Here is a 13,074-nt window from a genome sequence, read left to right on the forward strand (position 1 = left end):
TTTTCTCCACAGCAGTACAAAGTATTATTTAACTAACCTCCAACACATTGGTTTTCTGGCTTTCAGATTTCATAACCAATAGAAAAATAAATGTTTTAATTAAGGAACTGGCATAACTTTGCCAATTTCTTATTTTGCCAATTACAGTTATAAAATAATAATTAAACTCTACAACTTATTTTATTACCATCATTTCCTTCAAGCAGTGGTTCTCAAACTAGCATGTGTCAGAATCACCTGGAGGGCTTGTTAAGGCACAGATGGCTGGGGCCCACCTGCAGAGCTTCTGATTCTGTGAGTCTCAGAGCCCAAGTATGTGCATTTCCAACAAATTCCCACGTGACGCTGCTGCCACTGCTCTTTGGAACCACACTTTGAAAACCACTGCATTAAAGAGAGGACATTTCAGGAGCAAAAAGGAAGACAAGAGGCAATCTCAGAATAAAAAAAAAATCAATTAAATTAAGTAAATTTAGCTTTATTTTTTCTACTTCTCCCAGGTCAGTTTCACAAACAGTAACAATGTCTCTGAAGTAACATTTAGAAACTTTCTGATAACTAGCCTTAGCCAGCCAGCCACATGTAGTTATTGAGCACTCCAAATATGACTAGTCCAAATGGAGATTTGCTCTAAGTGCAAGATACACACTAGATTTTAAAGATTTACTACAAAGGGCATGGTGGCTCAGGCCTATAATCCCAGCACTTCAGGAAGCTAAGGCAGGAGGATTGCTTGAGCCCAAGAGTTTGAGACCAGTCTGGGCAACACAGTGAGACCCCATCCCTACAAAAGATTCTGAAAATTAGCCATGCGCGGTGGAGTATGCCTGCAGTCCCAGCTACTGGGGAGGTCAAGGCGGGAGGATCATTTGAGCCCAGGGCATCAAAGGTGCAATGAGCTCGGATCACGCCACTGCACTCCAGCCTGAGCCACAGAATGAGACCCTGTCTCAATCAGAAAAAAAAAAAAAAGACTCATTACCAAAAAAGAGAATATATTTCACTAATAATTTTTATACTGATTAGATGTGGAAATAACATTTTATGTATTCAGAGTTAAAGAAAAGATATTAGAAAAAAAAAATTTTTTTTTGAGACAAGGTCTCATTCTGTTGCCCAGGCTGGAGTGCAGTGGTGCGATCTCGGCTCACTGCAACCTCCACACCCAGGGCTCAAGCCATCCTCCCATCTCAGCCTCCCAAGTAGCTGGGACCACAGGCGCGTGCCACCAAGCTCAGCTAATTTTTTGTATTTTGGGTAGAGACAGGGTTTCACCATGTTGCCCAGGCTAGTCTGGAACTCCTGAGCTCTGGCAATCTGCCCACCTCAGCCTCCCAAAGTGCTGTAAAGGCGTGAGCCATGGCAGCCAACCTAGAAAACTGTTAACTGCTTTGGGAGGTCAAGGTGGGTGGATCACCTGAGGTCAGGAGTTCGAGACCAGCCTGACCAACATGGAGAAACCCTGTCTCTACTAAAAATACAAAAAATCAGCCAGGCGTGGTGGCGCATGCCTGTAATCCCAGCTACTCAGAGGCTGAGACAGAAGAATCGCTTGAACCCGGGAGGCGGAGGTTGCAGCGAGCCTAGAGTGCACCATTACACTCCAGCCCGGGAAACAAGAGTAAAACTCCGTCTCAAAAAAAAAAAGGAAAAATAAAGAAAACTGTTAATTGCATATGTGGCTCTTATAATTCCATCAGGCAGCATTGCCCTAGAGCAATGGCTCTCAGTGTAGTCTCTAGACCAGCAGCATCAATATCACCTGGGAACATATGAGAAACACAAATCCCACCCCAAACCTATTGAATCAGAATCTCTATGGATAGGGATCAGCAGTCTACATTTTAACAAGCCCTTCAAGAGATTCTGATGCATGGTAAAGTATAAGAACCACTGCTAGAACAGTGCTTTTCAAACTTTAATGTGCATACAAATCACCTGGGGATCTTTAAAAATTCAGATTCTAGTTCAGTAGGAACTCAAGATTCTGCAGCTATAACAAATGCCACATAATACTGGATACTGGTGGTTCTGATCATTCTTTGAGTGACAGGGACCTACTTGTAACATTTACTCCTTATTGAGCACTCTAACCAATATCCAAAACAAACAAATCAGCACACATCCCTAAACTCCAAAGGATTCCCACCTCAAGATTCCAGTTAGGCTGCTCTAAGGGAGAGGAATTGTGATTCACTGACAGAAGGAATTTTGTCAAGACTCTGAGAGATATAAATTCTTCCATTTAATTGTTTGCATTATCAGAAAACCTGCCATGCTCATCTAATAAGAAAGCGTGTGTTCGTATTCCTATTTTCTCCAGTAGGTTAATGGTGATTCAATATATTTAGAGCTGGAAGCTACTTCTACAAGCCTGGAACATTTGAATGAAAAATGGGCACTCTGGCTGCATCTCCCTTGGCAAAGTGATCCATTTAATCAGCACTGTTGTTTATATCTAGAGAGTGGGTTTTAATCTGAGTTACTATCTGCTGGCTTTAACTCAGAAAAGGTAAGTAGGATAAGAAAAGAAAAGAAAAGGAAACTCTTCTCTTGAGCTGCACTGAGTTCATTTTTTGTTTATCCTTCATGACAAGAGCCATGTAACAAGAGACAGAGGCAGACTTTCTCAAATTCTGCTTGATTCCAAGGAAACTCCACCATACATCTGAGAAGCAGCTGCTCCCATATTTGAGAGTGGTGTTATTTTTTCTGCTTTCCCCCCATTCTCATTTTCCCTTTATTATATTTTCTCCACAACGTCTATAGTAGACAAATATAGAAAAACAGACATTATTTACAAGCGTCTGGAGAAAAAAAATTTTATAATTCAACTGAAATGATAGAAAGTGACTAATAATTGTTCGGCTTTTATCATGTTTTTTATGTCATGTTTTTTAATAAACCAGAGGGGAAATCTAGGAAGTTAGGAAACATGTCTTCTATAAAACTTCTTTAAATTATAGAAAGCTTCATTTTTTAAAACCAAAGTCCATCTCTTTTATTGTTTATTAACCACTTTATTGTTAAGTATAAGAAGAAAGAACACAAAATTAAATGGGTGAGTTGGGTTTTTAAGGTAAATGTGATTTATTACCCTTCTCTGTCAGTTTTGATAAAAAACCTATATGTGGTACATAATTCATGCTAGGTACAAGAATTTGCTATAAAATAAAGTTTTGGTCTATATACATATGCATACTTTTTTTTCAACATTTATTCATTGAGTTAAAGGCAACAATTAAATTCTACTTATAAAATCCTTAGTCATGAGAAGTCAGTCCATTTTGTGCCTAGACCTTATGGCCATTTCAAGAGCCACATAATGCCAGGCCAATAAAATTAAAAACTTGTTACTGAGATCTGTGAAGATTGCTCCTATGTTGCTATAAATATAAAACAATCATTTATTGTTTAGACACAGAAAGTGAAAATAAGTTCTATAAATCATTGGGTTAGCTACCATATGGTAAAAGCTTAAATTCAATATTCATTGTACTTGAAAACAGGCAATATGTGTCTTTTGCATGAGTTTAGATAGTGATGTGTGATCATAGTGGGGTAAGTGTTTCTGGCAATTGAATTTTCCAGGAAAGGGAAAATGCTTTGTGGGGTCAATTGAGGAATGTATAAGGTATCCTGAAGAGCCGGGACATTTAACAGGCCATCTCTTGGGGTAGGACACTCAGGGTTCCCCTGGTCACACAGATCACTGGAACAAATTGCTGTTACACAGACCTGGTGTTGAATCCCAGATATCCTTAGTTATGAGCATGTTGACTTTGAGCGAGTCACTTAACCTCTTGGTATTCCAATTTCCTCAATTCAAGTTGACCATGAGTGAATAGCCATGTTTTTCCCAGAAATTTCTAGATAAACCATTTTCTTCCTCAGACTCCAGAGCCCTGTGAATTTTAGATCCTTTTAAAACTTGGGAGGAAAACATCTACTTTCTATTGGTGTTGAATGTATTATAAATAATATGTGTAGAGTCCCTGGAACACAGTTAGTGCCCACTAACCGTACTGCGCAAATGTTCAGGAAGACAGGAGGAAGGCAATCCAGGAGAACTGACAGAGTTCTCCTTGCTTCTCTTCCCACTCCGTCCTACGTAGTGACTCTGAGCCTTTGAACTCCGGCTGCTGAAAAATGGGAGAGATACTTATTTTCTTTGATTAAACCACTGAAGGTCTGTGTAATTTTTTGAATGCCATGGGATTTTCAATTCACTCAAAAACCAGTGCTTATGCTGCTATGTTTTCATTACACATTTTCCTTACCTTCCCCAAATCCTAGCTTTATCCACTCTTTCATTTATTTGTGTTTATTCACCAAATCTTTATTTAACACTACTGTGTTAGATTTTAATGCGAGAGGAATTTTTTACACCTGCATTTCTCTAACTTCCCATATCTGAGGAAGCACCTGAAACACAGAGCTCAAGACCAGCACCACTTAGCTAAAAGTCTGGTCAAAAGATCACATTGATGATAATTGTAAATGAACTGACTATAGGGTCCAAAAGATTCCATGTTGCATTCAGAGTAAAATGCAACATGGCTTTTTGTGTGGCTCCTGCTGACCTCTCTAGGAACACCTCCCCCCACTCTGCACCAAATATTTTAGAGAGCTCAAGCATCTCTTCCTCCCAGAAACATTCCTAAAGTCCTAGCCTCCTCCCCATCTCCACTGTATCTACCACAAGGTACTCTAATTTTCTGCTGAACTGATCGCTCCTCCTAGAGGCCAGTGGTTCTCAAGCTTTATGGAGAATCAGATTTAGTGGGTCTGGGGTAAGGCAAGAGAATATGCAATTCTAACAAGTTTCCAGGGATGCCAATGCTGCTGGATAGAGATCACACCTTAAGAATATCTGCTCTAACCTACCAGTTCTAACAAGAAAAAAATCCCAATTTACTTTATTTTGTATCCCTGATACCTAACACAGTATGGCATACAGTAGACAGTCAAACGACATTTGTTGAATAGAAATAATGTATGAACTAGTGAATCCCTTGTTATTTTGTGTTGAATGGAATGACAAATTGGTCTCCAAGTGTAAGAACCCAAGACACTCCTCCATCAGTATTAAGTTACCTCTTATAATAAGTAGAGGGAAAGTGCTCCTCTCCTGGCCTCTGAGCTCCAGCATACTATCTGGTGCTGCTGAAAGTACAACTTGAAAATGCAATTTATTTTAGACAGGTTCTCACTCTGTTGCCCAGCCTGCAATGCAGTGATGCAATCATAGCTCACTGCAGCCTCAAACTCCTGGACTCAAGCGATCTTCCTTCCTCAGCCACCCAAGCAGCTGGGACTACAGGCACATACCACCGCACCTGGCTACAATAATTTTTGCATTTTTTGTAGAGATGGGAGTCTGATCTAAATTTTATTTTTAATACATAAAATTATGAAAGGCTTGATTTGGCTGAAGACAAAAATGTAAACAAACCTTCTCTATGGTTAAATATTCCTTCTTTAATAGTATTCATATGCAAATAAGTAAAAGAAGACAAGTAAGATACTGGCATTAGAAATATGTCTTGAAGGCCACTAAGTTTATTTCAAAAAAAGTATGAAGTGCTCTTTCCCAAGATCAATACCTTAAATCAAGTTGACCAAATTTATTTGATAATCTGAGAGTTTTGTTTAAAGTACAGATACCCAGGACCCTCCTGTGGAGAGTCTAAATTTCAACAGCATATAATGGGGCCCCCAGAAATCAGTCTTTTTTAACAAGTTTCAGGTGGGGCCCACATAGTGATTGCTTTAAGCTGCCCATCAATTAACTAACTAATTAACAAGCAGCTAGTACTGAGAACCACTGCAGGAACTCACGTAAAAATTTTCTCATGAAACTATTTTTGGCCTAATATTTTTCACCTGGAACAGGTTAGGTCATGGTGCAAAAAGCCAGGTTCTCAATCTGGAATGTTACTTTCTTGCCCTTTGGTTTCCTGGAGGGAATAAATGTGTAAGGCATTTCTACCACAGATCAAGTTTTGCGTCATGACACAATGGGGCATGAGCCACTCCAACAATAACAATAGAACCATTAGTCAAAAGACCTCAGGAAAAAGGGAAACCTGTCACAGGATGACGACAATTACCCAATTATTCTGAACATAAAAAGTAAACCTTTAATATTTGTCTTATGGCATCAGAACTATGGCATGATCTGGAGAAGTAATTAGCATATTGGAATTTTATGCTGGTACAATGTCAGGGTAAAATAAAGGTGGGCTCTGGAATGTACGGTGGGGAGGGTGGAACTAGAAATGGTCTTGCATTTGAGTACAAATATGGTGGTATCAACAATTAACTTTCCGCTAAAAAATAGTTTTCCTGTTTATACGTATGTACTGGTAGAAAAAAATTTGATGTTGTTAGATATTATGTTTGGAATAGGACTTCCTTTGAGATAAGGTTATTTAAGATGATAATTTTAATTCAGAAAGTGAAATGTTCTATCTTTTAAAAAATCAGATTATCTTGAAATCATACGTGCTTTCCTACCTCACTTCACTCACTTGCCTTCATGTTAAATCTCAAGAATAAAATCCAAGCATTTCAGCAAATCACTCTACATTGACCTCTGCCCAAAGATCTAGAGGAGGCCAGTCAGGCTTCGAAAGGACTGAGGCACTTCGGTTCATTAAATTGTTTAATATGAGCACTAATTTTTACAATCGTGTAATAAAAGTAGGTGTTTTCCAAAATGAACCGTAGACAAAGATAGAAAAGAATATATGCCTCTAGGACACACACCCATGGGGACTTTACAGCTAAGAAGTCGTTATTTTGCTAAAAATTAGTGTTGCAAAGTGCCATTCATTGTTAGCATAGCACCAGCACATAGGAGTCACCAGATGAATGTTTGATGACATTAGTTTTCTTTTATAACTGCCCATGTCTTTCATTAAACAATGACCATCAAAGAAATTATTTCTTACAAAAGAACAATTTGAGGAATGAGAGGCTGCAAATGTACAAACTACAGTTCACTGCATTTTTAATAAGAATTTTGAGCACAATAAAGATTTTATATCCAAATATATTATGAAAAAATGGATGCTAATGCTATGTTAAAAGGTTACCACACTAGGTTTATTTGCCTCTTTCTTCTTTTCTCATATCCTAAGTCATAGGCTTTAAAACAAAATCAGGTCTGAGATTCATGTAATCGTCCCCATTTTAGTGTCTGTGCCGTCTTTGGGCATCACTTGGTCCTGTCCGCCAGTGATCATGAAGGGAGCCTGGTCTGCACTGGCTAGGAAGGGAGGCATTGCAGCAGGCTCTGCCTCGGTCCACGCTTCACTCCCACCCGATCCCCCACTGACTCAGCTCATCTTCAACATCTTGTGTGGAAGATAAAATCATTGTGATGTACAGAAAAATCTACACCGAAAACAGGAATAAGAACAACCTCCCTCTCTCCTATCACCTGAATTCACATGGCTACTTAAAGTTAGTAAATTCAATAAAATTAGAGTTTAGTTCCTCAGTTGCAGTAGCCACACTTCCAGTACTCAATAGCCGTCTGTGCCTAGTGGCTACCATATTCATTATTGCAGGGATAGGAAGGTCTATTGGACAGCGCTAGTCTCCAGAGGGCCAGCTAAGGAGGGGAATAACGGTCCCCTAACCACTTGACACGTTAGCCAAGGAGGAGGAAAGAAAGAAACAGTGTAGTTCCCTTTTTTCCTTAGAAAACTGTTTTACTTCCACCAAAACTAGCCTGAGTGGATTCCATCCTTTCTCTTCCCCAAATCTTGCCTCCTTCCTGACTACAGTGGGGAAAGAAGTGGTAGTGTGTGAGAGATTTTGAAAGCAATTTTAAAAAACCAAAACAATGCATATATCTTGTATTTCGAATGGGCCAGGCACATTGGCACAGTGGCTCATGCCTGTAATCCCAGCACTTTGGGAGGCCAAGGTGGGAGGATCACCTGAGGCCAAGAGTTCAAGACCAGCCTGAGCAAGATGGTGAGACCCTGTTTGTAAAAAAAAAAAAAAAAAAAAAATTAATTAGCCAGGTGTGGTGGCACACACCTGTGGTCCCAGCTACTTGGGAGGCTGAGGCAGGAGGAACCCTTAAGCCCACAAGTTCTAGGCTGCAGTGAGCCGTGATTTTGCCACTGTGCTACAGCCTAGGCGAGAGAGACAGACCTCATCTCTTTTTTTTTTTTAAGTGATATGCCTGCATTTGCATTGCTGGCTCATGCTTGAAACCAGCTCACTGAGGTAACTTCTATATGGAAGTTGCTCCTGTAATCCCTAGGTGTTCCACATGGGCACATTGATTCAATTGAAGTTATTTTAGTAAGGCAATCATCATACTGATTGTTACTTGGAATTCGTATTCATGCTGCTTTAAGTAATAGCCTTTAACTTAATTTCAAAGCTTTAAAATAATTGTTTTAATATTGATGAAGACCGGTCTTGCTACCAATCTTAAATAAAAATCTTATTGGCAACAATCCTACATATATTAGAATATAAAAAGAATAATAACCAATAGTAATGAAGTCATTTTTTTCTTCTTCATGTCTGAAGAGCACACCCTTCTATTTCCAACACACATGGGTGAAGCTGAAGAGACTGACTATGGTAGACATTAGTAACATTCCCCCGTATTCAAGTGTTCTCCACTTCAGGACACACAAAGATTATAATTCCCCCATCCCCCTTATTTTATACATAGCTATGTAATTATTTCTGGCCAATGAAATGAGAAAAGGAAGTGAAATGCATTGTTTCCAGGCAAAAGCAGTAATTGGCAGTCTGTGACTCCATTTTTCTCTTCCTCTCTTTGATGAGCTCTGAAGTACTGCAAGGGCAGGTCACTATCTGAAGATGGTCAAACCTCCATCTCTCTAAAACATGATCTTCCTCTGCTGGCATAAGAAACTGTTAGTGTTACTTTGAGATATGAAACCAGATTTTTTCATGTGTCTGTCAGTTAAATACCATTATTTAATTCTTTTAGGGCTCTTTTTGAGAGTGAGTCTCCAATAAAACTCTATTAGGATGTGCTATGGTTGTTTTTTGTTTAAGGTGGAAACAGAGTTTTGCTATGTTGTCCAGGCTGATCTCAAACTCCTGGACTCAAGTGCTGAGCCTCCCATCTCAGCCTCTCAAAATGCTGAGCCTCCCATCCTAGCCTCCCAAAATGCTGAGATTACAGCATTTGTAATGCCACATTAAATCTTGTGCCATGGATTTAATCAAACACAAACACATCAGGCTGAGCGTGATGGCTCATGCCTATAATCCCAGCACTTTGGGAGGCTGAGGCAGGCAGATTGCTTGAGCCCAGGAGTTTGAGACCAGCCGGGGCAACATGTTGAAACTCTTTCTCTACCAAAAATCACAAATTAGCTAGGCGTGGTGCGGCACCTGTAGCCCCAGCTCCTCAGGAGGCTGAGGTGGGAGGATCACCTGAGCCTAGGGAGGTCAAGGCTGCAATGAGCCAAGATCCCACCAACCTGGGCTGTGTGCCTGGAGCTGTCCTTTCAGTACCATCTGAAATGTCATCCGTGCCCTGACACCACTGCTGTATATTATGTGCGTGTAGGTGAGCTTCATGTGAACCTTCCCTGACACGTCTTCCCTCCTGTGCTCATTGGAGTGGACCTCCATTGTGCATATCATGGTGCACTGTTAATTATTCATATTTAAGACAGAGAACTTCTGGGAGGGTGTCTTATATTACCCTTTTTCCTCCAATATGTAGCACTTTGTCCGAGAGAAGATAAGTACCAAATGTTTGCATGGAGAATGAATAAACAGATGTATTTACAAGTCTGCTCATACCTGGAATGATCTAGAGCCACAAAGAGCCAACTCCCTTTCTTTACAATTAACTTCATGTTATTGTTGCCATATTTTAACACTCCTAAGATGACTGCCAATTAGCATACTATATTATAAAGTAAGAGAATGGTGAGTCATTTGTTGAAAGCCTTTAAAGATCATTCACTAGCACTCAAGGCAAATGATATATGGATAAAAATAGCCAAAAAAGCACAGATTGGGATGATATACTAATATAATTTTAGAAAAATGATTCCCAACTTTTTAGAAGTGTCATACTTCGTAATTGATTATTGGGTTTTATGACATTTCCTTATCCCAGCCTTAAAATGCTGTTGTTTTATATATTTACTTTCAAAAGGCCTAGGTAAGTGATCAGTTTACCCATATATTTCCTTCTATTTCTCCTTTTCAGTTTTGAAGACAGACAACAATTTTCCTCTATGTTACTTTCAACTATTATGCTCCAACCACAGCAAGAGTAACTCTGAAAGGTTAATCCCTTGGTTCTCAACCTGGCTACATCTTAGAATCACTTGGGGAACTTTGCTAAAAACACAGATGCCTAGGCCTCACCCCCAAGAGATTGTGATTTAGCTGACTTGGGTATGATCCAGATTATTTTAAAAACCCTACAGTCAGGATTGAAAACTACTAGTTTAGTCAAATCATCAGTTGGAAAGAACACTGGACTGGGAATAAAAGGGTCACTCATTCATTCAATACACATGCTTGTCAGCCTTCTCACCACCTACTGAATACTATACTAAGCCCTGGGATGCAAAGATAAATGAAGCACAGCCCTAGAGAGGTTCACCGTCTGACTAAATAGAAAAGTAAATTACTTAAGTGCTCTAATTAAAAGAAACAGGGGACTATGACAGACCAAAGGAGGAGGGGAATTACTTAATCCTGGCTGGGAGGGTTAGAAAATTCTTTTTGAAAGAACTACATTGTCCGGGATGTTGAACAAGGTAGCATTTAACCTGGCAAGAAAAGGATAACAAAGACATCCAATAGAGAAGACAACATTCATGAAGTATAAAATTGTGATACCGTCAGGGAACTGAAAGCAGTTAATGTGTCTAGAGCTTGCCATTGGGTAAGTCAGGGAGGCAGCTGTGGAAGAGGAGGGGGAAAAGCAGGCAAGGGCCAGGTCATGACAATCCAAGGGGCCTCAGTTCTGACAACAAAGTCATCACAAGGTCAGAAGCCACCTGGCTATCTATGAGATATACAGTGACACCTGAAATATATTGCCACTGAATTGCGATATACACCTTGCAATGAACTCCTGTTCCTGCCCAGCAACATGAAGGCATGGCCTACAGGGACAGGCCAAGGAGTGGCTTAGAGTGCTTTAGCTCCTCTGTAATACCTGTTTTTATTCGCCTCTTCCAGGGGCTATCTCAAATGAAAACAAAACCTTGTTGTTATACAAACACAGCTTCAGTACAAGTCCTTGAACACCTCTTCCAACTGCAGGTCCTCCCCTGAGCCCCATCCTGCCTTTGAAGTGGTATTACATTGTGGTTCAGCTCACAGTTTCTGGAATCAGACCATCTAGATCCAGATTCTGCCTCTTATTACTTACCAGCATTATTATCCTGAACAAGATACTTAACTTATCTAGGCCTTAGTTTACGTACCTGTAAAATGGAATTATAAACAGTACCTCTTTCAGAGGCTGTGAGAATGCACTGAATGTACAGCACTAAGCACAGGGTCTGGCACAGAGGCAGCATTCCATCTGTATTCGATCTAAAGCTCCACTGCAATCAAGGTGGTCCTCACTCCAGCAGCTCCCATGTCACAGGGACATGAGTGAGAAATGCCACAGCTTAGGCCCCACTTCCAGTCACCTAAACCAGAATCTGCTTTTTAACAGGATCCCCAGGTGATTCACATGCACATGAAAGTTTGAGAAACACCGCCACAAAGTATTATCTAGCTGCAGCATTCTAAAATTTTAAATCTCAAAAGCGGGGAATGATCCTGTTTACTCAAAGTAAGAGTGCTGAAGGCAATGGTTCTCGACCTTCACTGGGCATCAGAATCACATGGTGAACTTCTAAAGAAATCACATATGCCTGGGCCCAACTCCACCAACCCTATGCCACCTCCACCTCCCTAGAGATTCTGATTCTGTTGACCTAGGTGAGTGGAACCCAGGCATCTTTTTTTTTCTTTTTAACAAAGCTTCCCACATGATTCTAATGATATTGAGACCCACTGGTTTAAAGAGAGCATTAAATTCTGACAAAGTCTACATGGCAACTGGGCTTATCAGGAAAGGAAGCTGAGTCGGTAAAAAGAAGCTAATCTGTGAGTTGAGGAAGCAGTTCCACTGAGACCTGCCAGGCGTTTAAAACCTCCGCTGTTCTCCTCAGGCTGTAACGGCCTTACCTTCTCCATGTCTGTACCTGTGGTTTCTACTCCAGTCCTTCACTCCCCCTCTCCTTAAATCTTGATGAAGGCGCTTGACTCTAGCGTGGCACATTCACCTCCATTGCACCTCTGTCTGCTTCCTCCCCAGCAGCAGCCCTCTATGGCTCAGGTACTGTCTGGTGACTCAGTCCGTACTGCCCAGTGCCCCACTGTGTGCTCACCCACATCCTATGTTTTTGACCCAGGGCTGGTCCTCGATCCTGGTCCTGATGAGAACTAGAAGACACTTTCTCAGGGCCATAATCCCGAGGAAGAAAGAATACAAACCTTCCCCAAAACACAGAAGGCTCAGCAGGCTAGGGAGAGATCTGCCTTCTTGAAGACAAGAGAACCAGCTTCTCCAAGCTGCAGCTGCTGACGGTTATGCCCCAGTGCTCCTCCTCCCAACTCCAACTAATTTTAGCAGCAAAATATCTAATAACACAGAAGAAAATTAAACAATTAAGTGTTGCAATTGTAATCTTTAATTTTGAAAATTTCATAGCAAAATGCTCTGAGATTGACCCAAGGGTTAGAAAACACTGATTTCAAAACTTGCTCTTATAAATTAAATCATTGGTTTAGTAGCACTAATTCTAAGTGCAATGGGAGGTCATTGAAGGGTTTGAGTAGAGTTCAAACGTAATCCAATTTGCATTTTTTAAAGACCCTTCTGGTTGCTGTGTGGCAAATAGAATGCAGGTGGCAAAAGTGAAAGCAGGCAGACCAGTCCAGAAGTGACTACGGGGATCCAGGAACAAGATGGTGGGAAGCTGGACTTGGGTGATGACAGCGAGGATCAACAAAGCCTGTGAGATTCAAGAGATG

The 13,074-nt window shown here is 40.6% G+C and overlaps 1 long non-coding RNA gene across 1 annotated transcript in view; it reads right to left on the reverse strand.

The window, feature by feature from the left end:
- LOC105373760 (uncharacterized) overlaps window positions 1-13,074 on the reverse strand; it is a 101,257-nt gene that overhangs the window by 54,274 nt on the left and 33,909 nt on the right. The gene's annotated exons all lie outside the window — the stretch shown is intronic.

The sequence above is a fragment of the Homo sapiens genome, chromosome 2 (genome assembly GCF_000001405.40).
Source record: "Homo sapiens chromosome 2, GRCh38.p14 Primary Assembly".
NCBI lineage: Eukaryota > Metazoa > Chordata > Mammalia > Primates > Hominidae > Homo > Homo sapiens.